The 26,526-nt window shown below is 51.3% G+C and overlaps 2 long non-coding RNA genes and 1 pseudogene across 4 annotated transcripts in view, besides 2 other annotated features; 2 read left to right on the top strand and 1 right to left on the bottom strand.

Moving 5' to 3' along the window:
- The window catches only part of LOC100128253 (uncharacterized), a 67,609-nt gene that overhangs the window by 25,678 nt on the left and 15,405 nt on the right, over window positions 1-26,526 (top strand). The window lies entirely within an intron of this gene.
- Window positions 1,783-26,526, bottom strand: part of LINC02827 (long intergenic non-protein coding RNA 2827) — a 38,300-nt gene continuing 13,556 nt past the window's right edge. The window contains exons 3-6 of one of the 3 annotated variants that reach the window (NR_187482.1): window positions 23,444-23,616; window positions 21,202-22,310; window positions 20,719-20,828; window positions 1,783-17,096 (exon numbers count right to left, since the gene is read on the bottom strand). This is a non-coding gene — a long non-coding RNA (long intergenic non-protein coding RNA 2827). Of the gene's footprint in view, window positions 17,097-17,574; window positions 22,311-23,443; window positions 23,617-26,526 lie in introns of those variants that run through there. The other 2 variants (NR_187483.1, NR_187484.1) reach the window with 2 other exon arrangements.
- LOC100418939 (tetraspanin 11 pseudogene) lies at window positions 3,243-17,121 on the top strand (annotated as a pseudogene).
- Window positions 4,545-5,744: an enhancer, noted in NCBI's record as "BRD4-independent group 4 enhancer chr12:3443867-3445066 (GRCh37/hg19 assembly coordinates)". NCBI's record gives its function as "activates an origin of replication core promoter dependent on BRD2, P300/CBP, MED14 and CDK7 cofactors, and independent of BRD4, by STARR-seq in HCT116 cells {active_cell/tissue: HCT116}" and the evidence as "EXISTENCE:reporter gene assay evidence [ECO:0000049][PMID:35650434]".
- Window positions 13,397-13,896: an enhancer, noted in NCBI's record as "H3K4me1 hESC enhancer chr12:3435715-3436214 (GRCh37/hg19 assembly coordinates)". NCBI's record gives its function as "activates a minimal SCP1, AML or CMV promoter by ChIP-STARR-seq in primed H9 embryonic stem cells {active_cell/tissue: H9 hESC(primed)}" and the evidence as "EXISTENCE:reporter gene assay evidence [ECO:0000049][PMID:30033119]".

The following is a 26,526-nucleotide window of genomic DNA, read 5'->3' as shown; positions in this document are numbered from 1 at the left end:
TGCGCCATTGCACTCCAGCCTGGGCAACAAGAGCGAAATGAAACTCTGTCTCAGAAAAAATATATATATATATACTTCTAACTGTTAAAAGACAGATAATGACATTATTAGCGATAAAGGGATTAATCCGCCAGAATAATATCTTAACTCCAAATCTGTTTGTACTCCATAAAATATCTGCAAAACATACGAAGCAAAATTTAAGAGACTTAAATAAGGTATAGACAAATTCACACTTGTAGGGAGAGCCTGTAACAGGCATCTTTCAATAGCCAATAGACCAATCAGACACCAGATCAGTAAGGATACAGAAGATGTGAAAAGCGCAATTAACAAATTTGACCTAATCGACACATACAGAATTCTGTACTCTACAATGACAGGATGTACATTCTTTGTAAATGAACATGAAACAGATACCAAAAAACGATCCTTCTAAAAAGCCGCATATACCATTTCTGCTTACATACCGCTCTCCGGCAAACAGGGAATCCTGGCTATGCCTAGCCGGAAGAGAGGCTGGGAAATGTCTTTTGCTCCAGGTGACCAAGTACCCAATTAAAATGGAGATGCTCTATTCCCAATGAAAAAGGGGAGAACAAATATTAGGGAAACCATCAGTCTCTGCCCCCCACCCCTTCCTGCCTTGCCCTGGGTTCTCTGGTCCTGAGAGTACTGCACAGTGGGTATGAGGGAAACCATCAGTCTCTGCCCCCCACCCCTTCCTGCCTTGCCCTGGGTTCCCTGGTCCTGAGAGTACTGCACAGTGGGTAAGAGCTTGAGGCCAGAGCCAGGGATTCCTCATTCAACTCTGGCTTTGCCATTTACTTGCTGTGTGACTTTGGACAAGTTATTTAACCTGTGTGAACCTCGGTTATATTGCAAAATGGGACTAGCCCTACTTCATAGGGGTATTGGAAAGAGGCACCAGAATAATGCACGTAAAGCACTTAGGTCTGCATCTGGCACGCGAAAGTGTTCCATAAATGTGACCTGCACAGAGAGGTTAAGTAACTTGCCCAAGGTCACACAGCCAGTAAAATGGCAAGGCTAGCTTTGAGATCCAGGCATCCGGCTCCAAGTTTCTTTGGGGCCTTTGCCACTCCCAGCACAGGGACCCAAGTGTGGTGGGATATTACAGGAGATGGAGCCTTGAATAGTGGGGGATAGAAAACTGCAACCATCGATTACAGACTTCTAGAGAAGTCATTTTAAGATGTGCGTTTTAGCTCCGATGGGTAAATTTCCTCATTCTGTCTGCAAAAGATTGAATTAAGTGAGCCCCAAGGTTTCCCCTTAACCCTGACATTCTGTGGTTCTATCTTCTCTACCAATAATGGCTAAAATTTTACCATTAGAATTACGTTTTTCTTTGTTAAGTCCTATCTTCTGCCTGAAGTCCTTTTTAAAAAATACAATTTTCCTTTCAGGGGCCCTGACCCCTTGGTTTGAGTGAGTGAATCGTGCCCCTCTGCTGCAGATCGAGAGAAGGTTCTGTGTTAGGAGTCTAGTGGGCCCTGGCTGGGAGGGGAGGGACGTGCAGAGGGAGGGAAACTGCAGACAGTAGCGCCCAGGCCCCCACAAATCCCTCAGCTTACTAAAAACCCATGGCACCCAGAGGACGCTGCACCCAGTCTCTTGTCAGGGCCGACTGCAGAATGACCTCCAAACACCTTCTGCTCGATTGCCTGGCCACCCCCATCCATCGCCATTCTTGACAGGCTTCCTTTTTTTCTCCTATATCTCTTCCACCACCCTATCTCTCAAACTAAATTGAAGAAAAATGGGTTTTGTCTTTTTTTAATGAGAAGACTAACAGTCTTAAATTACCTTCTTCAAGGTCTGCAAATAGAAATCCCAAATAAGACAGCCACCTTTTCTTTTCTCTCCTCTTCTCTCCCTGTCTCCATGAGCCCATAAGCTTGAAATAAAAGGCAGAGCAGTGGCTCAGGGAAGTAATTTGGGCTTTGGCCCAGCACCAGCCAAAGAGGCAAGAGCAAGCGGGGAGGAGGGCCTGATGGGGGGTTGGGAATGATAGAGGAAGAGAAGGTCATGGGCAAAACCAATGCCTCATTGCGTATGGTTCTGAAATAAAAGAGCTTCCCAAAATGGGGACAATTTCTTAAAGAGCAACTACTCTGTGAGTGTGCAGGTGCCCAGGGGTACAAGTAGGTCCAGGTGAAGAGGAAACCATAGAGGCTTCAGACTTACTGAGGTTCAGACTGACTAAGAAGCAAATGCGATTACTGAGTACAGTGGGCCTTCTCTGCCTTTATCACCAATGTTGACTTTCCCTAGAAAGTCCATTGACGGGTGTCCGGACAAGAGACAGAGCATGGTGCTGGGGCAAAGAGTGGAGTTTTAGGATTGGGGTCGTAGGTTCTAGTACCAGCTCTATGGCATGTAATAATAAAAGCTAACATTAAATACTTACTATGTGCCAAGGACTATGCTAAACACGTCACATAGATTATCCCATTCAATCTTCAAAACAACCCTGTGATGTAGGTATCATTATCCCCATTTACAGATGAGAACACTGAGAGATGGGAAGTCATGTCACTTGCCCAAAGTGTCACACACCTTGTGACAGATCAGGGTTTGAACCCAAGGAGTTAAGACTCCAGAGGCTCTTAGACTTCTTCTGCCAAACAGTCTGGGCCTGTCTGGACCTGCTTCCTCATCTGGGAAGTCAAGGGGTGTAGAGGCCAGGTAAGGTAGAATGGGTCATCATTGAGGTCTTTCCGGCACAGATGCTCTGATATGGGACTCCTGCCACACCTGTGGATGTGCAGTACAGGTTTCCACTGCAAAGCAGCCATGCTGAACGTGTGTGTGTGTGTGAGAGAGAGAGAGAGAGAGAGAGAAAGAGTGTGTGTCTATGACAGATAAACTTGTGTCCTGCAACCCTGATGAGACAGGGAAAGAGAATAAGAACACAACAAGGCCAGGGAAATCTGTGGAAGATTTGTGGGTTAGACCTTTGTCAAGAGAACAAAACCGGCACCTGAAGGTCTGGAAAATTCTGCCCAAATTCACCTCCACTAAGGCATCCAGTAGCCTTTGCGATTCCCTGATCTTTACTCTATGCTGCACACCCACAGCCTCAAAGATCCCTGGCAAGACAGGCAAATAAGCCCTTCAAAGGGAACCTGGCTGAGGCGCCCTGGCTCCTGGAGGGGTGAGGTGGCTCTCGGTAATTCCCCAGCCCAGCCTGTGTGCCTTCTCTAGACTCAGCAGCCATGGCCCATTACAAGACCAAGCAGGATGACTGGCTGATTGTCTACCTGAAGTATTTACTCCTTGTCTTCAACTTCTGCTTCTGGATGAGTGAATTCTGCACACACATCCCCTTTCCCGAGCACTGAATGAGTCAAGCCACCTTTGTTTTTTGTGAGTCACCACTTTGAAGTTGATTTCTTCCAAATCAAAGACCACCCATGGGCAAATTCTGCCTACTTTAAAGCAAATGTGTATGTTTGTTACTGAGGGGGAAGAAAAGAATCCAGTCTGCAGGTTGGCGTGGAGTCCGTACCACGTGGCGTCTGAATAGAAGCACAAACATCACAATGAGCTTTGTGTTCTGGCCCCGCCGTACAAAGGCTCGGCTTCTTTCTTCCCTGCTAACTTGTTGCACAAGTGCCTTGTGGGAAATGTGACTGCCTGAAATAGTGGCTAATAATGGCTTGTTTCCAACCGAAGCCCATTTGCCTTTCATGGTTAACATTCTCCAGGCCCAGGGCAGGGAAACAGAAGTCCCGGAAGCTCAGGCTGCTGCTGCCTGTGATGGAAATGGTCTCTATGGTGACTCCCCGCAGGAAACCTGCCTGGGTGATGTCTTCCTGAGGACCATAGCCTGTCCGCTTGGGGCCATTATCTGGACAATTGGGAGCCGAATACCACCCAAAAATAGCCAGACACCAGAATATAAGTATTTTGTATTACAGTCTCACTAAATTTGGGAAAGTAGGAGAAGGGTAAGAGTGCAGGCTTTGCAGGCAGCTGGACCTAGGCTCTGCCAGCTACTAATGGTGTGGCCTTGAGCAACTGAAGTTCGAGGAGCCTGTTTCCCTGGCTACAATTCAGGGATGATTGGGGTTGCATTCCATAAATGCAATATTTTGAATATCAGATGTCAAATGCCTGAAAATACCACCAAATCAACCCTCAGATAAGGCAGCCAGGTTTCCTGCTACCATGGTAAGGGAGAAGACCCTTTACAGAGTCTTAGAATCATCTCAGAAAACCAAATGCAAATGGGATATGTCTGAGTTTTGAGCATCTTTCCTGCAGGGACTTGATTAAGATTGGGAAGAGCCATGACCTAGGAGTTTGGGATGGGAAGACATGGCAAGGCAAGAGTTTTTGAAGAGTCTTGGTGAAAAGACAGTCATTAGATGCTATTAAAAAGTTGTACAATCTGCTGTTTGTGTAAATGTTATTTGCAAAGTCCCCGAAATGAACAATAAAATTATGTTCAGCTTTTATCTTCCTGGGCAAGAGTCTCCTGTGGAATAAAAAAGCTGTGTTGATGAGGACAGTAAACTGTGTGGCATAGATGGCTTCAATTCTCAGGGACAAATCCAATAGGACGCTTAGGATTCCTACTGATGAGCACTTCTTTTTAAGAATGACTATGTTTTTCCTAATCATAAAAGTCTTGTGTATCCACTACAGATCACCTCTAAAATACTGAAAAGTATGCTAAGAAAATGAAAATTGTCCTTATCTCCCTATGTTAGCTTCCCAGGGCTGCTGTAGCAAAGTGCCATAGACTGGATAGCTTTAAGCAACAGAAATTCACTCTCTCACAGTTCTGGAGGCTACAAGTCCAAAATCAGGGCATCAGCAGGGCTGTGCTTCCTCTGGAGCTTCTAGGGGAGGGACCCTTTATCACCTCTTCCAGCTTCTGAGAGTGGCTGGCAATTCTCAGCACTCCTTGACTTGCAGCTGCCTCCCTCCAATCTCTAAGGCCTCTGCTGTCACATGCTGCTCTCCTGTGTGTCTCTGTCTTCGCGTGACGTCTTCCTCTTCCAAGGACGCCAGTCATGTTGGATTAGGGCCCACCCTTCTGACCTCATTGTAACTTGACTACATCTGCAAAGATCTTATTTCCAAATAAGGCCATGTTCACAGTTCCGGTGGTTAGGATTTCAACATATATTTGGGGGGACACAGTCCAACCCATACCACTGGCCATCCCAGGAATGGCCACTGTTGACACTTCCTCTAGACTTCGCACCGATCAAAGTGAGAGATGGTCATGACCTGCACTGTGGGGATGACAGCGGGGACAGAAATACTTGGAGTCAAGGGACTTAGGAGGTGAAATTGACAAGAAGAGATTCCTTTGGCTGGAAGAGGTGCCTGGGATATGAATCTCCTGATGGATGGTAGAGCTCTTCATTGAAACCAGAGACTGGAGAGAGAAGTTTGGGGTCAGATGGTGAGGTCAGATGTAGACATGGTGACTTTTCGAGGTGCCAGGAGACCTCTGAGCAGAGATGCCCTGTAGGCAGTTAGCTTACAGGTCTGGATCTCAGGAGAAAGTTAGGCTGGCACCCCAGACTTGGGGATCATCCCCACCCCAATGGCAGCTGCAGCCACAGAAATACAGGAGATCCCTTAGGGAGAGCATGGAGATCAAGAGGAAACGAGAGGCAAGAAGGAGACATGGGCGTCCCCACAGGTCAGGGTGAGTCTAGGGTGTCCCCAAGGTCAGGGTGATCTGGGGTGTCCCCAAGGTCAGGGTGAGTCTGGGGTGACCCACAGTCCCAGTTTGCCCTGAACTGAGGGAGTTCCCAGGATGTGAGACTTTTAGTCTAAAACCAAGAGAGCCCCAGACAAGCTGATCAGTGCTTACAGTTTGATCAGGGGAGCCTGAGGCGGAACAGTCAGCGAGGTGGGAGGGAAGCCAGGGGCCTGAGAAGGTCAGCGGTGAGAGGCCACTGGGCTTAGCAACAGAGGGGCAGCTGTGGGGAAAGCACTTTCAGGAAAGTGCAGAGACGGGAGGGTAGAGGAGGTGGACTCCGTGTAGACACCACCGGCCGGGCACCAGGAGAGGGCTGGGCAGTAGCAGATGGGGCCAGAGGGTCATCGGCTCTTTAGTCCCTAGGGCTGTCTTGAGGTGCTCTGCCCAAATATTTGTGGAAGGCCTCGGACCCTGCGCTCCTGCCTGTGCCAAGGTCCCGTAGGTGGGAGTGGGCAGCAGACATGGTGACCACGGTTGGGGAGGACCCAGGGCCTGTTGGGTGTGTGCATCCTTTTGGGGAGGGAAGGAGAAGGGCCTGTGGGTGGCAGTGCACACAGCTGCGCAGCAAGTGTGTTACTGGTGCAGTTGCCAGCAAGGGGAGCTTCCTTCATGCAGCGCTCCCTGCTTCCAGTTAAAAATACCCCTGCCGAGGGCCTGGCTGGCCGTGGACCAGCTTCCCAGGGACCAGCTCAGCTCAGACTTCTTTCCCTGGTGGGGGATGGTTGGATTTTGAAGGTTCAGACCTCAGTCTCCAACACAGGGGTTCCTGGCGTCCGGTCCCCAAGACCTGCTGCAATCTCCTCCGGGGTAGACACTGGGCAGCCTGCAGGCCCAGTCCCTAGGGACAGAGCACCAAGTCCCTAGGAACTCACCAGAATTCCCCAGGAGGGGGCGTTGGCCAGTGAGGATCCCTTCCAACAAGAGAAGGTTCCCTCCCACACAGACACCCCCAGCGTCCAATCGCGGTCCTCCTGCCTGAGCCTGCCGAGGTATGAGGCACAGCACAGGGGAAACACAAGCTTCCTTTCTCCCCCAGAACGAGGTCCTCTCTAGTCTATCACCCTGCACTCTTTATCGAAACCCAGCACAGAGAGGGGAAACCTGGGTTGGCCCCAATGCAGTTCTGAGCCCAGCATTTGACAGGAGCTGTTGGATGGTCACTGTCATTATTATCCTCACTTTACAGACAGGGAACAGGCCACCCGGTTCTGAATCTCACCCAAGGTCTGATAGTGTTGCTAAAGCTAACACTGGCACCCAGGTATTCTAATACCAGGTCAGTGATGAAAATGACAATTAAAAACTCAGTCCACAATTTGTATGAAGCACCTAGTAAGTGCCAGGCATGGGTCTAGGCCCATAGGGTCTATCAGTAAACAAAGTTCCCAGCGTTCCTGGAACTCACTATGGTGGGCCTCTGTGCTTGTCCTTGCAGGTGCATCATCCCATTAATCCTCCCAGCCCTGCCTGAAGCTGTGAATGGCTCTCTTAGAGCCCTGCTTTAGGAATGGGAAGCACTGTGCCTTGTCCCGGAGCTGTAGCCCAGTGCTGCCTGGCCCCAGGCCTGTGTGCTTGGTCACCACGCTTTGCAGCCCCAGCTCTAAATTGCACACTTTCCTAGTGTCCTCGGGGCATTCATGAATTAACGAGGCAGCACAGCATGCTGGGAAGGCTCAGACTCAAGTTTGGATTCAAATTCAGACTCCATTATTTATTTGCCCTGGGACATTGGGTGCTACAGATTGAATTGTGTCCCCCAAAAGTTATATGTTGAAGCCCTAACCAGCAATGTGCCTGTATTTGGAGACAGGGAGGTAAGTAAGGCTAAATGAGTCCATAGGGGCATGGCTCTGTTCTGCTAGGATTGATGGTCTTCTAAGAACAGGAAGAGAGGGAGAGCTCTCTTTTTCTCCATAGACAAGCACCAGGTGAGAACACCGCAAGAAGGCGGCCATTGGCCAGCCAGGAAGAGAGCCCCACCCAGAACAGATCACCTTGATCTTGGACTTCCCAGCCTGCAGAACTGTGAGACAATTAATTTCTGGTGTTTAAGCCACCCAGACTGTGGCATTTTGTTACAGCAGCTTGAACTAAGACATTAGGCAAATCACTTAATCTCACTGAGCCTCAGTTTTTTCATATGCTACATGAGAATACCAATACCTGTAAGAATTAGAGGTTACTATTTAGAAAAATAGCACAATTTGTGCCACATACTCAGTGCTTAGCTATTATGCATAACTATTATGATTAGACTGATGGGCATGCCTGGTCTCTTTAATGACTTTCTCTGTCCATAGTGCTGACTTTGAGACTTTTCTGATGGTGACTCATGATATGCATGGAAGCATAAGAAATGCTCACACGAAACATTCAGAAAACTAAACTTACCCTTACGGTATATGATGCTGTGATGGTTAACACTGAGTGTCAACTTGATTGGATTGAAGGATGTGAAGTATTTTTCCTGGGTGCGTCTGTGAGGGTGTTGCCAAAGGAGATTAACATTTGAGTCAGTGGACTGGGGCAGGCAGACCCACCCTCAATGTGGGTGGGCACCGTCTAATCAGCAGCCAACATGGCTAGAATAAAACAGGCAGAAGAACATGGAAGGACTTGACTTGCTGAGTCTTCTGGCCTTCATCTTTCTTCCATGCTGGATGCTTCCTGCCCTCGAACATGAGACTCCAAGTTCTTCAGCTTTTGGACACTTGGACTTACACCAGTAGTTTGCCAGGGGCTTTTGGGCCTTTGGACACAGCCTGAAGTCTGCAATGTCGGCTTCCCTACTTTTGAGGTTTCGGGACTCGGACTGATCCACCACTGGCTTCCTTGCTCCTCAACTTGCAGACGACCTATTGTGGGACTTTACCTTGTGATCCTGTGAGTCGATTCTCCTTAATAAACACCCTTTCATATATACGTAGATTCTATTAGTTCTACCCATCTAGAAAATCCTAATACAGATGCATGCTGATATTTTCTCTACTATTTTAGCTCACTTTTTTTAGTGCAGGTTACAACCCACTAAATTTATTTTATCACCCAAATGGGTCACATTCCAAAGTTTGCAAAACACGAAGCAGGATTCAGGTGGCAATTCTTCCCCGTCACCCTATCTCTGACTCCCACCGCCCCACCCCACCTAGGGTTTCAGTTAAGCCATAATCATTATGGGATGATCCTGCTGAGCAGAGGAGGAACCAAAATGCCACACTTTCATGCCTCTTTCATGGCCCTAAAAAGAAAATGTGGCCCAGGCTTTCCTAGGCGGCCACCTAGAAGATGTGTTTCTTTCCCCTCCCTTTTCCTCCACGGCTCCCTGCAGCTACCATTACCCCTGCAATGTTTTTCTCTAATTTATTATTTTAATTAGCTGCTTGGCTGTGTTCATAATCAAAACTTTTCCAGCCTCCCAGGAGCTCTGCCAGGCAATGGGAAGCACTCCGTGACTGGAGAGGCTGCCTCTGCTCCTGAAGCGGAGACCTTGCTCCTTCCCAGGCCGCCAGGAGGGCTCAGCCTACAGGGAAGCTTGGGAGCCCTTAAAGGAGGCATGGGACCAAGACAGGTGGCAGAGAAGATGGAGGACCGAGCCTGGCAGGGGAATGAGGTGGCTTGGGAGCATCACTTCAGGATCTAGGGAGGCCCTGGTGGGGCCTTCTGCTCACCTCTTTGCCAGAGCTAGAAAGCCCTTCACCTCGGACAGCATCACCCCACTGAACGTGGCCTCTGCCCCCTTCCTGGGCTTGCCATTTGAGGAAAAACAGGTGAGGGACCTCGTAGCTGGTTTCTCTGCTGCACCGCTTCTTGAGATGCTGAATGGCATGGGACTCCCCACGGCTTTCGGGGCACCTCTACCCCTCTTGGCTGTCAGGATCTGCTGGGGGACAGGGCCATGGCTGAGGGGTGTATTAGTCCATTCTCATGCTGCTATGAAGAAATACACAAGACTGGGTTATTTATAAAGGAGAGAGGTTTAACTGACTCATGGTTCAGCATGGCTGGTGAGGCCTCAGGAAACTTACAATCATGGTGGAAGGGGAAGCAAACAAGGTGGCAGGAGAGAGAGAAGTGCCAAGCAAAGGGGGGAAAGCCCCTTACAAAACCATCAGATCTCATGAGAACTCACTCATGAGAACAGCATGGGGGACCCGCCCCCATGATTCAATTACCTCCCACCAGGTCCCACCCACGACATGTGGGGATTATGGGAACTACAATTCAAGATGAGATTTGGGTGGGGACACAGCCAAACCATATCAAGAGGGATGTGCATTTGGTCTGCTCGGGGCCATGGTGAGTGAGACAAGTCAGGATGAAGCTGTGGTCACCCCTCCTAGCTGCCCATCTGCAGCTCAGGGACTCTAGATCTACTGTAGCCCAGGCACCGCACAACTTGCTTCCTGGGCCAAGCAGCTTCGTGTGGGTCAGCAGCCCAATTGGTAAAATGGACACTAAACTGAGCATTAGGATTCTTGAGTTCTAGCTCCATGCTTCCCCTGGCTAGTTGTGTGACTGTGGAAAAGTCACTTTTCTCTGGGCCTTAGTTTCTCCCTCCAGAATATAAAAGGGGTTGAACTCGATTCCCTCCTCCCTTCCTTCCTCCCTCCCTTCCTTTCTTCCTTCTTTCTTCCCTCCCACATGTAGGACTCCATTGGAGACACCAAGATGAATAAGGTTTTATCAAGAGGCTAAAAGAGGACACACAAGGTAGCAAATAAAACAAATAGGCAGTGATGAGTATAATTACAAAAACATGGGCAAGACATGGAGCTGGTACAGAGGACAGAATGGTTTGCTGAGGAGTGGGGAGAGACAGCTCCAAGGAAGGTTTCCCTTGGATACTGAGCTGGGTTTGGAAGGTGATTTTATGTTCCTTTCCAGCTCCACCCCTCGGTATGCCCCATGAGATTCTGCTCTTGTTATAAGGGTAGATGGGATGGGGAAGACAGAGGGGGAAGCAGTGCTCTGATTTATTTTATCAAGTGCTCTTTAAAACCAGAGAACCAAGAAAAGAATGCCTCAAAGTGGAAAATGGCCCTTAGCATGACAAGCCTGTCCTTGAAGATTCAGTCAAACCAAGGCAATGGCAGCATGGACAGAGCCGGGGAGAAGTGCTTGCCTGGTGCTCAGAAAAACGTCACTCACGAGCAGGGTGAGCAGTGGTGCCTGATACATGCCTGCCTATGCCCTCCTGGAGAGCTCAGAGGCTCAGGTGTGGCACTGAGGTGCCATCTACCCTGCAGGTGAGCGCCAGGCTCAGCAGTGCACTATTGGGACTGCAGCCCGGGGTTCAGCTGACTCTTCTGATGTGGGAACGGGGTACCATTCTTTACAAGCAACCGAGCCTTGCTCAGACATGGCCTCCCAGTCCTCTCCTGAGCCCCCAGGCTGTGTTTGCCAGCCCCCCTCCCTGAAATTAGACCCATTCTCCTCTCTTTCTAATGGAAATCACCCTGGTGATTGCTGGGCCTTCCCATCTAGTCACTGGCCTGCGACATGAGGGCAGGTGAAGTGACAGGTGTGGACCCCACTATGGCCTGAGAGCCTGGCGTCCTCATAGCAAGTGCACAGTGGGTGTGGGTTGAAAGAAAGAACGAGAATAGCCAAGCATTGGTCTGGCATGAAGATCCTTTCCAGGGGCTTCTTCCTAATGACCTGGAGGAAAGTCCATTGCCCTCGGGGACTGCTGGCACTTTGCAGACTGCCCCTCCAAAAATAAAAACGGCCATAAAACAGGGAAGGGGGATACTCGTTGTTGCCTCAGGAGCTCAGCAGACAGACGGGTGAGGGGAGCAGATGCCGCTATTTCCAAAGCCCCCTACAAAGCCCCGTTCGTGGAGTCCCATGCTCATGTGGGCGGCTGCCAGGTGCCAGGTGGTTTGCTGGGCCCGGGGTTCTGAGGGGAGTCGGGGGAGTCTCCCACCCCCGGGCCGAGGGCTGCTGTGAGGGGAGCAGTGCCACAGGTGTGCACGAGAGGGACAAGCTCACCTGCCCAGCAGAGTCAGAGCAGGTGCCGCACTGGAGATGGGGCTTCATGGGTGAGTAGGAATTCAGTGGAAAAGGAACGGCAAAGAGAACAATGTGAGCAGGTTGGGAAGGGACAGGAGAGAGCCTCTCAGAGGCCCAGAGTTTGGTAACCTATCCAAATCCACACAGCCGTAAACAGAGGGGCTTGGACTCGGACACCGGTACTTCACCCCAGAGTTCACCCTCTTTACCACTCTACTATTGCTGCCATAGTTAATGGGTATCTACAATGTTTACAAGAAAAGCAACTACTTTGTTCATGGTGATTAAAGCCCAGGTACGGAGGAAGGAAAGTAGCAGAAGATAAAGCCAAAAATAGGTTAAGGCCAGACACGTAAGAGCCCTGAGGCCATGCAAAAGAGTCTGGGCTTGGGGCTCTGGCTGTTGGAGCCTGTGGGGATTGCTCAGCAGGGAGTGCCTTGGGGCACAGCCTGCCAGCCTGCAGGTAGAGCAGGAGCTGGGAGCTGACGGTGGGGAGATGGAGACAGGTTTGAGAGCAGAGGAGAACTGGCTGTCATTGAGCGGAGAGGAAGGAGTCAATAATGACCCTGAGGTGTCTAGTCTGGTCTAGGGTGGGTGGGTGATGGTGCCATTGACCAGACCGACCTGGAAGGAGAGACACGGATGATGTGTGTGGTTCCCAGTGGGGGAACTCCTGTCCAGGCCAAAAACCTTTTCAGTCCAGCGTGATGCTTGGTTCCTAGTAGCAAACATCAAACAAATGAACTATACTGTCAGCCAGTGCATTTCTGCCTCCCATGCCATGGGCTCCCCCACCCAACCCCAGCACCGAAGGTAGAGAACTCCCCTGCCCGGGGGATCCTTCTTTACTGGGCGTCCCATGGTCCTGGCTCCTGCCCCACCCCATCCTCCCCCCAGCTGTCAACACAGAAGCCCTAGCTAGCAGGACAAAGAAAAATCCTACATTTACTGTTACGCCACTGCCTGCTTTCCTTCAAGCCTGCTGCCTTATTTCTATCCAGCCCCAGGCATGTGTGGCAGTTCAAGCTAACGCTTCTCCCCATGATGACGTGGGCCACACTTTGGCAATGTTTCTCTCCTATAAATGAGAAGTTCCTAAAATTACACGGCATGGGTGACCTGCTCTGCCCTTACTGGTCTGCTCACGTCCTCATTGCCTGACTTCACCCTATGCAGGGTTTGCTGGCTAATCGGCCACAGGCTATGGTTTTGAGAAATGCAGTTAATACTCCACAGAAAACCAACCCAGTTTCTACAAAGAGCCAAATACTGTTGAATCAACTCTACGCCAATGGTTGTTAAAACCGCTCACTGGGGTCAGCGCTCTCCCTGCCCCACCAGTCTTCCACTGCTTTCTGTTGAACTGGGCAGTTTCCAAGTGGTTTGAGTGACAGCCATGAGCCGCTGGTCCAGAAGCATCTTGCTGGTGGTGTCTTGGCAGAACACTGTTGCCCAATACTAACAGGGACAGTTTAACCATGTGGAAGGGACCTCAGAGATATTCCCATCCAGTGCCCCCAATTTGCAGATGAAGAAACTAAGGCTTTGAGAGGCCAACTGTCTGTCCACAGTCACATACCCAGTCAAGGGCACGGCCAGGACTGGCATGCAGACCTGCTGACTTCCGCCCTCCCGTGGCACCCTCTGGTGACCCATTCCAACAGTGAGCAGTTTTCCTTCCCTTGCTCAGAGGAAAGCTTGCTTTCTAAAGAGCTGACCACGTCCCCGGCAGGAGCTTCCCGGAGGACTTGCAGCACTCTGGCTCCTGCAGACCCCTGGCTAAGTATAACCAGGCCCCGTTGACCCAGACTCATCTCCTGATTTCTTCTGGACAGCAATGCATGTGGATTTGTTGTTCTCTAGACCTGAATCAGGGAAATGTGTCCCTCCAGACCCCTTCCAGACCCTGCCCCGTGGCCCAGGATCCGGCGTCACTTTGCAAGCTTTGCAAGATCCCAGCCCCATTTGTGTGGCCTGCAGGTGCCCTGGCAGAGAGCAGGCCTCCGTCGGCCAGATCCACACTGCTCCTCTCCGGGGCTGCATTTCTCATAGCCTCCGACTCCCCTGGGAGCCATGGTTTTTTCCTTTCTTGCATAATCTGATTTTTGCCCCTTTAGATGAAAATTCTGTTCCTCAGGATTACCCCACTTTCTACCTTAAAGCTTCTGCCAAAGCAAACACCCTAACAAACACACGGAAGGAAAGGATGGGGTTCAGGTCCTGAACAAATCTCAGTAGCCCTCCAGGCAACTCCTCCCAGGGGAGGGAACCTGGAGCTTCAAGGGGCCCCTCCTGGGACTGAGCGACCGGGAAGCCGCTGTGTTCTGCGAGGCTCAGCACAGCGTCACCAACTGGGAAGAGGAGGGCAGGACACCTGGACCCCATTCGTTAATTCTGGGCAATGGTTCTCAGCTGGGATCACCCAGGAACTTCATAAAAAATTCATGGCTGGGTCCCACTCCCACAGACACGGATGGGCCTGCAGGGGGGCCTGGGTTTTTCAAAGCTCCCCAGGTGATTGTACAGCCAGGTCTTAGGGCACCATAGGGGTGCAGGAGGCCTACAGACCATAAAGGCCACAGGTCATTAGGTAGTGCAAAATAGACTTCAGCCCCTGGCCCCAAGGGTATTGTTTTGTGTGAATGACCATTTCTCTGGGCAAAGGATGCAAAGCTTTTCATCAGGCTTTCAGTGAGGTTCTGTGTCTCCCAACAGATGGTCCCCAGACCAGTCCAAACATATGTCTTTTGGTGGCCCCAGAGCCATATGCTCAGCCCCCACTCTGGTTTGAGGGACAGGCTTAAGAAGCCTAACAGATCACAGATAATGTGCATATTTCTATAAAGAGGCTATTCTCATGAAAAGCCAAGATTCTTGGCCTTTTGCTGGAGTTAGATCAACTCAGTGTGGTCAAGTTGACTGTCTCATGCTGTTCAGAATCTCTTCCTGGCACTATATGTGCCTTTGATTAATAAAAAATGAGAAGTGAATTATTACTTAATTAATGCACGTTGATAGGCAAAAGCCCTCAAAACATAAAACCCATGGGAAAAAATAATCAAACGGTCCTTGGTAGTTACAGGCTGGGAACTACTGGTCTAATATAACTCACTCCCTTCTTCGAGAGGTGAAGAAACTGAGGTCTGGAGAGGTTCAGGGACTCTCTTTAGGTCACGGAGCTAGTTATACACAGTTGGGACCCGTGCCCAAGCCTTCCAGGCATGCTGTAGAGGGTCAAAAAGAATTCTGTCCAGGATATTTTGCTGGAACCCAGACTCAGGAAATCCCTCACTGGTCATGGAGGTTGTATGGGCCACAGATAACACTCACCCACAGAGAATTTTCAAACCTGTTGTATTCTAGGATTTCACTGAATCTAAGCTATCAGTTGTAAGATACACTGTTGTTTTTTTGTATCACCAAGAAAAAGTACTGCCAAGTGTAATTGTAAGATGCCATCAATCATAAGATGTGCCCCAATTTTAGAGACGTTAAAATGTGAGAAAAAATGGGCATCATGGAATTGAAAAATTATGGTGTGTTAGCCTCTCCCATTCCATTTGCTGCAGCCTGGGTGGTGTCTGGAGGTACCTATGGAGATAAAATGGCACTTTGAAGAAATCATGTCTATTAAAAACGTAGAAGTAAGAGAGAAGCAGGCCCAGCCTACTCTGGGGGATCCAAGGACAGAGGCCTGGATTTGCCCTCAAATAACTGGGTTTGCACCTCAATTCTGACCCTCTGATGGTGTCATCTTGGGCACATTCTTATTCTCTCCAAGCCTCAATTTTCTTATCTGCAAGACAGGGATAGCCTGGCCCCTCCTGCCCGGCCCCATCCTCACAGAGCTGTTGCAAAGCTCAGAAGAGAAAATGGCAAAATGGTAAAATACTTGCGAGTTGAGTAATGTAGGTGCCTGTTCATTGCTAAGAACCACCTTCCATTTACTCAGCCAAGGTCTGCGACTCCCCGGAACAGAGAACTGGGAAGTGACAGGTTAGGTTATACAGAGAGTCTTCCTGGGGCAGACGGGAGACAACTTGCAGGGAAAAGCATCAGGGGATGTGAACAGAGCCCGGGAGGGCTTCTCTAGCTTTGGCTACACCCAAGACCCCTTGAGGAAGCATCTACTGACCATCAGAGGAAATGGACCCGTCCCTAAATGGCGGGCAGAGAGACTGGGAGACAGAAGTCCACCTTCCCAGGAGCAAATGACAGAGATGGTCAGAGGTCCCAGAGGACCCAAATCCTGGGAAAACACTCCAAACAGCCCCCATCTGGCACCTTGAGGACACTTGCACCCACCCACTATGCTCTGCTGAGGATAACAGTCACTAAAAGGCTCCTCAGCTTCATGGCAGGAAAGAACAGTCAAGCCCCACCACCCCAGCTACATTTCCCAGGTACTCTATTTCCAAGAAGGCATCCCCCAGACCTGCAAATCAGCAGTGTCCCGTCCCTGCCCCCTCTCAGGACTGAAAGGGAGTCAGACAGCAAAGAAGGCTCTCCTCCCTCCTCCTGTGGTCCCAGGGAGCTCCAACTTGTCCAGCACAGTGGCCCTTCCATCATGGAGGCAGCGAGACTGAGCAAGCAGGCCCTGGGCTCTGAGTCCTGGTCCTGGCCCTGCCCCTAACTCGGGCCATTTACCTCTCCTCCATGGGCCTCAGTTCCTTCCTCTGTAGAACAGGGAGGGATAAGGGGCCCAGCCGTGCTTCCCCAATGGGCAAATATAAGGATTGAACAAGGGGAGGTGCTCAAAATGGCACCTCCACATCCATCAGGGAAACGTGGACAGAGGGAGGGAGCGCTCTGAGGGGAGGGGAGGCGAAGGGACTCAGGTATATTAGTCATCCCCAAAACTGAAGTCATTTCTCCCCGCCTCATATGCAGTAGGAACCATAGTAAGATGCACAGAATCAGAAGTCAGACCCAGATTCAAAATCTGCAGCTCGCTTACATGTGTGACCTTGGACAAGCCTGCAAACCTCTCTCAGCCTCCGTTTCCTCATCTGTAAAGCTAGGCCACCACACTGTTCTCACAGGCTCTTAGGAGGCCTAAATTGAATAAGACAATGCACGAGAAGTGCCTGGTACCCAGCGGGCACTCAAGGAATGGCAGCTCCTGAGGCCCCCGCCACCCCCTGCTCCAACCTGGTGGTCTCCTGCAGGTCAGGGGGGCAGCTGTCCTGGCCATGGGCATCTGGACCCTGGTGGAGAGGAGCAGCTACCTCAGCATCCTGGCCTCCAGCACCTTCACCGCCTCCGCCTGCATCCTCATCTGAGCGGGTACTCTCGTCATGGTGACCGGCTTCCTGGGCAACAGCACCATCTCCTAGGAGCAGAAGGGCTGCCTCTCCATGCTCTGCAGGGAGGGGGACCCTGCACTACCACCCTATTTCCCAGTGAGGTCCCCAGCAAGGAAGAAGGGCTCCAGTCCTGGAGTGGGAAGCGGCTGAGGCCATGGGGCAGCCAGAGAGGGGGTGGCTGCTCGCCAGCCTGGTGTTCTCCAGGATCTTAGGACACAGGCCAGGAGGCCAGCCTCGGCAGCTGCAGTAGTAGCTCCCTCTCATCTGTCTCTCCTCCTCCCTCTCCTCCTCCTCTGCCCCTTCCTTCTTCTCCCTCCTCTCCTTCCCCTTCTCCCTTCCCTTCTCCTTCCTCTCCTCCTTCTCCCTTTTCCTCTGCCTTCTCTTCCTCCTCCTCCTCCTCCTCCTCTTTTTTCCCCTCGTCCTCCTCTCCCTCTCTTTCATCCTTTCTCTTCCTGTTTCTCTTCCTGCTCCTTCCAGATTTTATCATGGCAATTTTCAAAGATATGCAAAAATTTTAAAAAGTGCTTTAATGAACCTCCATCTTCCCATCACCCAGGGCTCAACAGTTACCACTTCATAGTCCATCTCCATTCGCTGGCCTGCACCCTCCCCTCCATCCCTCCCTCTCCCCACCCCAGGATGGTTTTGAAGCAATCCCAGATATCAAATCATCTGTCAATATGTCAGCATATTTCTGAAAGAGCAATAAACTTTTTAAAACATTTAAAAAACAAATATTTCAGTATGTACCTCTAAAACTTAAGGATCCTCTTTTAGAAAACATAGTAACATTACCATTATCATACCTAAAAACTATTAACAGTTGATTCCTTAATATCACGAAATAACCAGGCAGTTTCAGCTCTCCCCAACTGACCCATAAACTGTTCTTTTTAAAAAAGTTTTTGGGGTCGGAATCTAAATTACATCCATGTGTTAAAATCAGTTAATTGGTCTCCTAAGTCTCCTGTAGCCTCTAAGTTCCACCATCAATCTCTCTCTCTCCTTTTTTCTCCTCTTGCAATGTATGTGCTGAAGAACCACGTCATTTGTCCTGTCACGTTTCTCCCAGTCTGGATTTTCTGATGACACCCCCATGATGTTGTCTAACATGCCCACCTGGTGGTTAGATCTAGAGGCCTGATCAGATCCCACTGATCTGAATGTTTGGAGATCGCCTGGTGCATGGCTGGTGTTACAGGCACCAGAGCCTCCTTGACAGCCTTCTTCCTGGGAAGCTGGGAAGATCCGCAGCTGCCCAGAGTGTCAGGAGGGGAGGCTGGGGTGGAATGTGCAGGACCAGAGGCCTGGAGCCCAGCTCAGGACTCAGGCAGACCCCAACTCCCTAACTTCCATGCCCTCTTGGCAGAGGCAAGCTCCCTGCTGCCTGGGGCCTCTCTTCACCCCACAGCCCCTCCCAAGGGTCAAAGCCTAGTGTGTGGGAAGAGAAGAAGAGGACAGATGAGGCTGAAAAATGTCCAGACCAGCAAGGAAGTGTGAGGGGCAGAACCAGCCCAAGTCTCAAAGAGAAATCAGGCCGAGCCTGAAAGGAATCGGGCAGCGGGAAGAAGCCTCAAAGGCCCCCGTGTTCCTTCTCCGGCTTCCCGGGTTCCACCACAGACTTTGCAGCCTCTGCTTTTGCACAGTGACCCAGGGAACCAGTGGCAGAGGAAGGGTGCTGCGAAAGCCTGTGGACCGTCCCCTGCTGCCTCTCACCAGCAGCGACCTAGTTTCCAGCTGTGGATATGAAGCGCCTGTGTACGGGCCTGCAGGACGGCCCTCCCGTTTGGAAGAGAGGGAGAGCCTACAGCCAGGGCGCTGGGAGAGTGGATGTGATAGGCCTGCAGGGTGAAGGCCCCAGGGCATGGGCTTTGAGCTCTTTTCCAGCACTGGGGACTGGTGTGCCAGGGGGCCAGCCATACCCCCACCCAGCCCTCCGGCCTGGGGCCTATCGTGAGGATTTCCAGCATCCTGGGCAATGCGGTCGCTCAGCTGAGGTCCCCGAGAGCCGAGTGGCACATCCTAGACCTGACCAACGTAGCTGGATGGAGGCACGTGGTGGGACAGTGAACCGGGCACGTACCATGGCCTGGGGTGGAGACACTCTCTCTGTGCAGCACCGACCAGCCCTTAGGGGGCCTGAGGCTTGCGGGACCAGTGCTGTTGGGCCCAGAGAGAGAACCCCTTTCCTCTGCAGTGTTGGCGAGCCCACTGTGTCCTGTCTGGCTCTGTGCCCCCCAGCAGGCTTGGCCTTCAGCTTGGCCTCAGGCTTCAGGCCAAGCTTCCGCCCCTCACACCTGCAGGTCTGCCCACAGGCAGGCAGCCAAGCCGCGTGGTCTCCGCTGCCTCCTTCCTTCCACCAGGTCATCTTGTTGAGGGAGGACAGGACTCACCTCTGGACAGCACAAGAGGGAAGGCAGAAGCCCTCACCTGGAACCTTTCTTCTGACCCAGACCCTTGGTTCTGAGGAGCCCTTAAAGGCCAGTAGTCCCTGCAGCACAGGGAAACAGCCCCCTGCATTCCTCCTGGGGCCTGATTAGAACACAAATGGCCACTGTTCACCGAGAGCCACCTACCTCTGTCCTTACTATAGCAACCTGCAAAGTCCCAATAATCTGAACTCTCTGCCAAGCACCATTCTCAACACTCACACATCAACTCTGTCCTCTCTGTGCCCCAAAGAGCAGCTTATTCTTACTATGTGCATTGACAGGGGAGGAAACAGAGGGCAGGGGCAGGGAAGTGATTTGTCCAGAACCACACTGTGTGTGTGATTATTTTAGGTAATGGTCAATCGGGGGCAGCCGCAAGAGGAGGCACAGGAGAGGCGCAGGGCAACAGGTGTTCCCAGACTCACAGGCCCCACAGAGTCACTGCACACTCCGCTGGGAGGGGTCGCATGGGAGGAGCACCCAGGGCCCAGGCTCCACCAAGCAGGTGGGGGGCAGAGAGCGGGTGAGGCTTTTTTATTGGGGATCAGAGTGAAGCACACCAAAAACAGACACGAGGGAATTCCACCAGTGCATTTGAACGTTACTAGGTCACAGTCAGGGGAACTTGTGGCACGGCCGGCCCCGTGACAATAGTGCACTGGGTCACCCAGGCAGGTGCACACCACCTGTGTCTGGGGATGTGGAGGCAGCAGGAAAATGTGAAGTTTTCAAATGTGCGACACACATTGCTGGCGAGTGGCATGTGGTCTAGCTCCAAGCCCATGCTCTGATCCACCATGACCCACCACACTCCACTGCATCCAAAGAGGTAGTATTCACCCCTGCTTTACAGATGAGGAGGCCAGGCTGAGACGTGCAGGAAGTAAGGGCCGGAGCTGGACTGGGAATTGCAGCCTGTTGGAATTGCCTCCAAGAGTCTGCTTCTCCTGGGGACCAAGGCTGAACGAAGGCAGAGGGGCAGGAAGCTGAGCGGGGCAGGGATGAATGTGTGCAGGGCACACCCTGCCGTCCATCTATGGGTAGGTCTGTGTGGAGCCGTGGCTCTTGGAGATCTGGCTGATTACAAGAGAGGGCTCTGTGCAGGACCCAGCCAGACCACTAGGGCAGGAGACCAGGGGTGTCATGGTGAGACCCTAGACGCCTTGGGCATCCCAGTGCCTCCTTGCTCCCATTATATAAGAAAATAACAGCATACCTGGGTTAGAGCATATTTGGTTCGGAAGGGAACTTGAAGGTCACAAGGTCCAATCCTCCATCCAAAGGTTCCAGGCTGAAGGGCACCGGCTGGGTGAGAGTATGGGCTACCTAGGCATTAATGGAGACACTCAGAATTATTGGCTTTTTGGGAGAACAGTCTAATCTTAACAGCTCTTCCCAGAAAAGCCTTAGGTTTAGCGCCTGACCACACTCTGCTCTCCAAGCCACTGATCACAGCCTCCTCTTCCACACTCTGTCTTACACAATCCATTTGCAAGATCTGTCCAGCCATTCAGGCTGATCCATGAAGAATGGATGTCTCTAGCCTCCCCACACACAATCTGACTGTCACTTAGTCTGGATGGCCTGCCCAGAGGGGACCAAGCCCTGAGCCCAGGGCTGTGCAAGAGAGATGTGGAGACTTAGTAAAGATCAGGGTCCTGTGCTTGCCTAAACGCTTGACGGGCACCTCTTGACCCACCTTTCTGAGCTTCAAGGAGTCGACAAACAGAGAGAGCCTTGTCATCTCTCTGGGGCTTGAGGCAGGGCTGGGGCAAAGTGGCTATTGGACAGGCTGGCATGAGACAATGTCCTTCTTCTCAGCTCTACTTTACTCACTTCTGTGGAGACCTGCCTGCGTTCATTCTCATCCCACATAGAACCGGGAATCTTTCTGGCTCAAGTCACTAAACAGACACATCAGGGAGGCAACAGCTTGAAATTGAAAGCAGAAAAAAGTGTGCGTGTACACAAACATGTACAAGCATGAATGTGTGTGCGCACATACACGCATGCACACCTGCACATGCACACACCTGCACGTGCATGCATGCACACTTGGCCACCAGTTCAGGACTGCAAGGACAGGCATCTCTGCCAGGGGGCTAGCAAACAGCAAACCCCACAGCCTAGAATCCGCTTTTGCTTTCTTGACTTTTCCTGCCCTGGTCTGAAAGAACCAATGACAGAACTGGCTCAGGGACCGAGCATGGGGTGAAGCAGAAGATCTGAGTAACCCATATCCTGGCCCACCAGCCCCAGAATTATTGAGTATTTGATTGTTTAAACCAAAAAGACGGCTGCAGAAACTTTCTTGGGCTAACACAAGTAAGAATTTTTAAACCCATTTAGAGTCAAGCGTGTGGTTAAGGCAGCATAAACGCGTTGTGTGCTTCTTGGCGGTTCCTTCCTGGTTTCATTTCTTTTTTCCTCTCCATGTCCAACTTCCTTTTGAAGTCTTGAATCGGCTGAGGGCTGAAGGAAGCCCCAAGGGGGAAGCACAATGAGTCTAGCACTAGACAAAGTGGTCCCCGAAGAGGAGAGGGAAGGACGAAAGACCAGGCCTCAAATGAAGTGCATCCACCTTGGATCAGGAGGCAGCGGGAGGCGGACATGGGAGTTCCCAGGGAGCTACCCAGAGAGGGGCCGTCCAGCTCCCACATGGGCACGTCATCTGTCCCGGCCCAAACCTTCCTCCAAGTACATCTGCAGCCCCTCAAAATCACTTTCTCAAGAAGGAAATGCTCGTCAGGGACGGGAATAGCATGTCTTTGCTGGTGCTGAGACGATGATCAGCTTGGCATCAGAAATCTGCAGAGAGGGGAAGGGAATGGGGTTTAAATTATTTACACCAGACCTTCTCTTTTAGCAAAGACTGCATGAGAGAGACAGATAATTCAGGCCATCTGGACCCGAGGCCGATGACCAGGACAGATGCCACCTAGATCAAAAGAGGAAGATATTTTTAGAGTTTTGAATGTGGGCTCTGAAAACTTTTATATCTTAAGCCAAATGAACATCATGATGGATGGTTCAGACTTAACTGGGTCTTTATCAGGGGATGGATTAAAAAGTAAGAAGTCCTAGAAACTAATTTCTGAAAATGAGGGGAGCCAGAATTGCAACACTTCCATCAAATATGCCGAGGCTTGGTCAGCCAGGGCAATGGGGTCCAGGATCAAAGATAATATCTGGGCTCAGGCTGAAAAGCTGGTTTTCATGGAGCTTGCCCAGCTTGCTCTGGGGCCTCAGGTAAGTCACTGCTTTCTGCTTTGCCACTTTGGCATTGCCATTTTATCTGGGACGAGGTGTGAGGATAAGGAGGAAGTATTTTCAGGTCTTAGGAAACGAGTCACCACATTATATAAAGATTGTAAAAATGTGGCTCTGGTGAACATTCTCATCACCGTCACCATGGCCAAGCTCCTTTGAGAAGAGACCTACATAAGTAAGAGTTATTCTTGGGCCCACTGCCCCCAGACCCCCACAGCCTTGGCTGGGCCACATCCTCTAAAGAAGCTGGGACTGGTGGGAAGTTCGGGGGAACCTGGGTCCCTGGACCCGGGAACTGGACTGCATCCTCCCCTCATTTCTCACCCACATGTTCCTTTCTGTTGCTCCACCAGCCACCCAGCCCCACGGTGGGCCTTGCCTCGTCTGTTAGGTGGTATTTTCATCTTTGGTCAGATGACAGCCCCCATGCTCCAAAAATTCTCCTGCAGCCAGGGCTTGGAGAATCCCGACCCCTCTCTGGCATGAACCTCTCCTCATCCAGGGTGGCTTGTGTGGTAGAGCCAGGGGAATGGAGAAGATGACCTCTGAAGCCTGAAGGCTCTTTGGGAAGCAGGACACAAACATCCTGAAGAGCCAGCCTTGAGCTGGCTGCACAAGAGACTCATAGACTTTGCGTCAACATCCACCTCTCCAGGCTGCAGTGGGTGTACCTGTTCACCACCACCTCCAGCAGCACTGTCGCAGCGGAGCAGTTCTTACAGCCAATGAGCTTCCACACCACCTCCCTGCAGTTCTCTGCAACCGAGGCTCCATCCTGCACTGATGGGCTGCCTGACACGTCGGCCTCAACAAGCATTTCCAGCACATTCTCAGCTTTCCTGCTCTGCTGGGCAAAACACAGGGTGAGAAGGGGAGAGGAAGAACGGGACTGTGGCCCAGTTCTAGGCTTGGAGTCTAGCGAGGAACACCAGGTGCCTGCATTAAAAGGTAAAGGACCGTGCAGGTGGTTTGAATTTGTGTTTGGATTTGGTCAGAGGCTCTGACCTCTCTGGGCCTCAGGACTTTTCCTAACCTTTAGGCTGCCCTGTTCTTGGTATCTCCTCACTCTTGTTCTTGGTAGCCTTCCCTACCCCCCATAGCCACTTTTGTCCTAGGATGAATTATCACTGCGAGGGACACACCACTAGTCCTGCCCTGGGGCCCTTGCCACTGCTCTTATCCCACCTTCACCACCTGCACAGTCCCTTCTGTCCACCTGTGTGCACAGGTATCTGCAGGCTGCACCATCTCTGTCCAAAGCCTGTAAGAAGACAGCCACGGGAATGTCTAGTGCTTTCCAGGGGGGGCTGGGAAGAAGTGGCAATTGGTCACCTCCCTATACCTGAATCCACTGAGCATCCTCTGAGTCCCCTGCTCTGTGTCTCCCCATGGGGCACCTGGCCCCCATCCCCCCAGCCTGCTGGCCAGGCCCTGCTGCCCTCTCTGGGTGCTGCCCTGACTCAGCCCATTCCAACTAAGTTCTTAATAGTCCCAGCTTGAAGCTCAGTGGACGCCTGTCTTGGGCGTGTAGTTCTGGAATTCTGTTCTCCTTCCAGGCCCACCCCCCACCACACACACACACACACACACACACACACACACACGTTCCTCTTAGACCCCAACATTTGGGCTGGCGCTTTGGATGGCCTCAGCCACATTTTCTCTTTTTTTCCTATTTTATTTTTTGAGAAACAGGTCTTGCTATATTGTCCAGGCTGGTCTCAAACTCCTGGACTCAAGCAGTTCTCCTGCCTCAGCTCCAAGTTGCTGGGCTTACAGGTGTGAGCAAGTGCAACTGCTCAGCTGCATTTCCTTGATGTGCTTGTAGAATACCTCCTGCTTCCCCAGCATCCAGTTTGCTCCCTCCCTGCCTCTTCCAACTTAACCCTCACTCCATCGCATCTACAGCTCTCCTTACCCCAGCCCTGGTCCTCTTCTCTGCTCCCAGCCCCCCGGGTCAGGAATGTATGTTAGTATCAGAAACTGGCCAGAGCTCATCCTCTTGTCCTCACTGTAGAGCTGCTCCCAGTGGAATGGCTGAGTCCCAACCTCCACCATAGCTGCGGCTGGATAGCCCAGGGTGTGAGCCCTGGGCTGGGGCCAGGAGGGGTAGAGGTCACCTTCAGCCTTCCGACAATGACATCTTGTTACAGGAATGGCTTGAGGCTTCCAAATTCACATCCTCTGGTTTGCACAAACAGGCCAGGCAGCTGCACCTCTGAGCTGCCTCCAGTCCATGGTTAATTGCCAGAAAATAATTCGCCCTGAGGTCATTGCCGTTTAAACAGCTGGCTTCGTCTTTTCCTGTTTGGCCGGTCGTTCTGGGCTCCCTGGCCCTCCCTCCACCTGCTTCTGTGATCCTCTCAAACACAGCCGGCTGGGAGCCTCAGGCTGGGCTCTTCTCCCTCCAGCTTAACTTGGCGACGTCTTGATCCTTGTGTTGTGCTGATGCGAGGCTGTTCTGGGAATAGGCTAGTCCCTCCACCTTGTCGTGACCTGCCTGGACACCGAGCCTCCACCATCAGGCTATCACTTGCAGGAAATTTTGCAAACCCTGTGTCTCTCTAATCATACAGGATGGTTGGAGAGACAAAAGAGGAAAATGAATGCTTCCACGAAGCTCCCTCTTTGTGGCAGAATCAGTCCAATGGAGAAATTCTGAAATTCCAGTTTTACAAAGTTCTTCAAACTTACCTCAAGGATGGCACCAGCTGAAGCTCAGTTGCCCTGTCTCTTATGCACCAGTGCATCTGCCCCAGAAACTCTTATCTGGGGCTCAGTTTGCCCCCATGTGGTATAAGTCCCTCCAAAGATTCCATTTCTAGTTACTCGTCTCAATGTCACAATGAGAAATATTTCTGCATATTTCCTGCAAAGCGTCTCATTAAAGAAAGTATTGGTTTGATTCAGAAAATGCTATGCTGTTCCAGCTTCACTTTGGATCTATAGTTTTAGAAAGTATCCAACTCTGCTTCTAGTTTAAGCTGCCCTGTTAAAGAGTTAATGGAAAAAACCCCACTATGGTATGAGGAAGGGGTGGGAATTAACGTTTGGGTCCCATTCTGTGCCTAAAACACTGGTTCCCTCTATGTTTTGAGCCTGAAATTGAGTCGTTCTTATGGAAGGCAGATGCTAGAGGAGCTTTCTTTGGGATTCTCATTACCCGTTTCCATCAGACCAGGCCATTAGATGGTTGCTTCTAGAAGGATGGTGCAGCCCTGAGTCTGCAGGGGGCAGACCGGTCACAAAAACCAGAGTGGAGCTGGGGGTCAGACTGGAGTTCATTGGGTAGGTTCAGTTCACACCCTGGTGCACAGGGTCCACGAAGGCACAACAAGGCACAGGTGAGAGCCAGGAGGGCAAGCAGGGATCCAAGTGTACACAGCCCAGGGAGCAAGACAAGCAGAGAGGCCTGGAGCCAGAAGGAGGCTCGGAAACAACGATGCCAGCAGTGAGCTCACGGGTCAGAAGCTTCTGGCCCAAGGCTTTATGGAGGCCATGCCTGAGCTGAATATTGGTGGCTGAGCAGCCAATAAACGGAACACAGATGGGGCCAGGGCAGGGAATTCCAGGCAGGAGGAACAGCCAGAGAGCAAAGGCAGGGAGGCTGGAAGCTTTGCTGTGTGAGGATCTGTGTACACACAGGGAATGCTTCACAGGCTGTAGAGACAGTGACTAGCTTCTGAGATCAGAGTAGGCTGGGCTGAGTAATGGGAAGGGTGGAGGGGGCAGAGACCCACATTACAGCCCGTGG

This window comes from Homo sapiens, chromosome 12, assembly GCF_000001405.40.
Source record: "Homo sapiens chromosome 12, GRCh38.p14 Primary Assembly".
In the NCBI taxonomy this organism is placed as follows: Eukaryota; Metazoa; Chordata; class Mammalia; order Primates; family Hominidae; genus Homo; species Homo sapiens.
The sequence above is the reverse complement of the archived record's forward strand: the minus strand, read 5'-3'. Positions and strand labels throughout refer to the sequence as shown.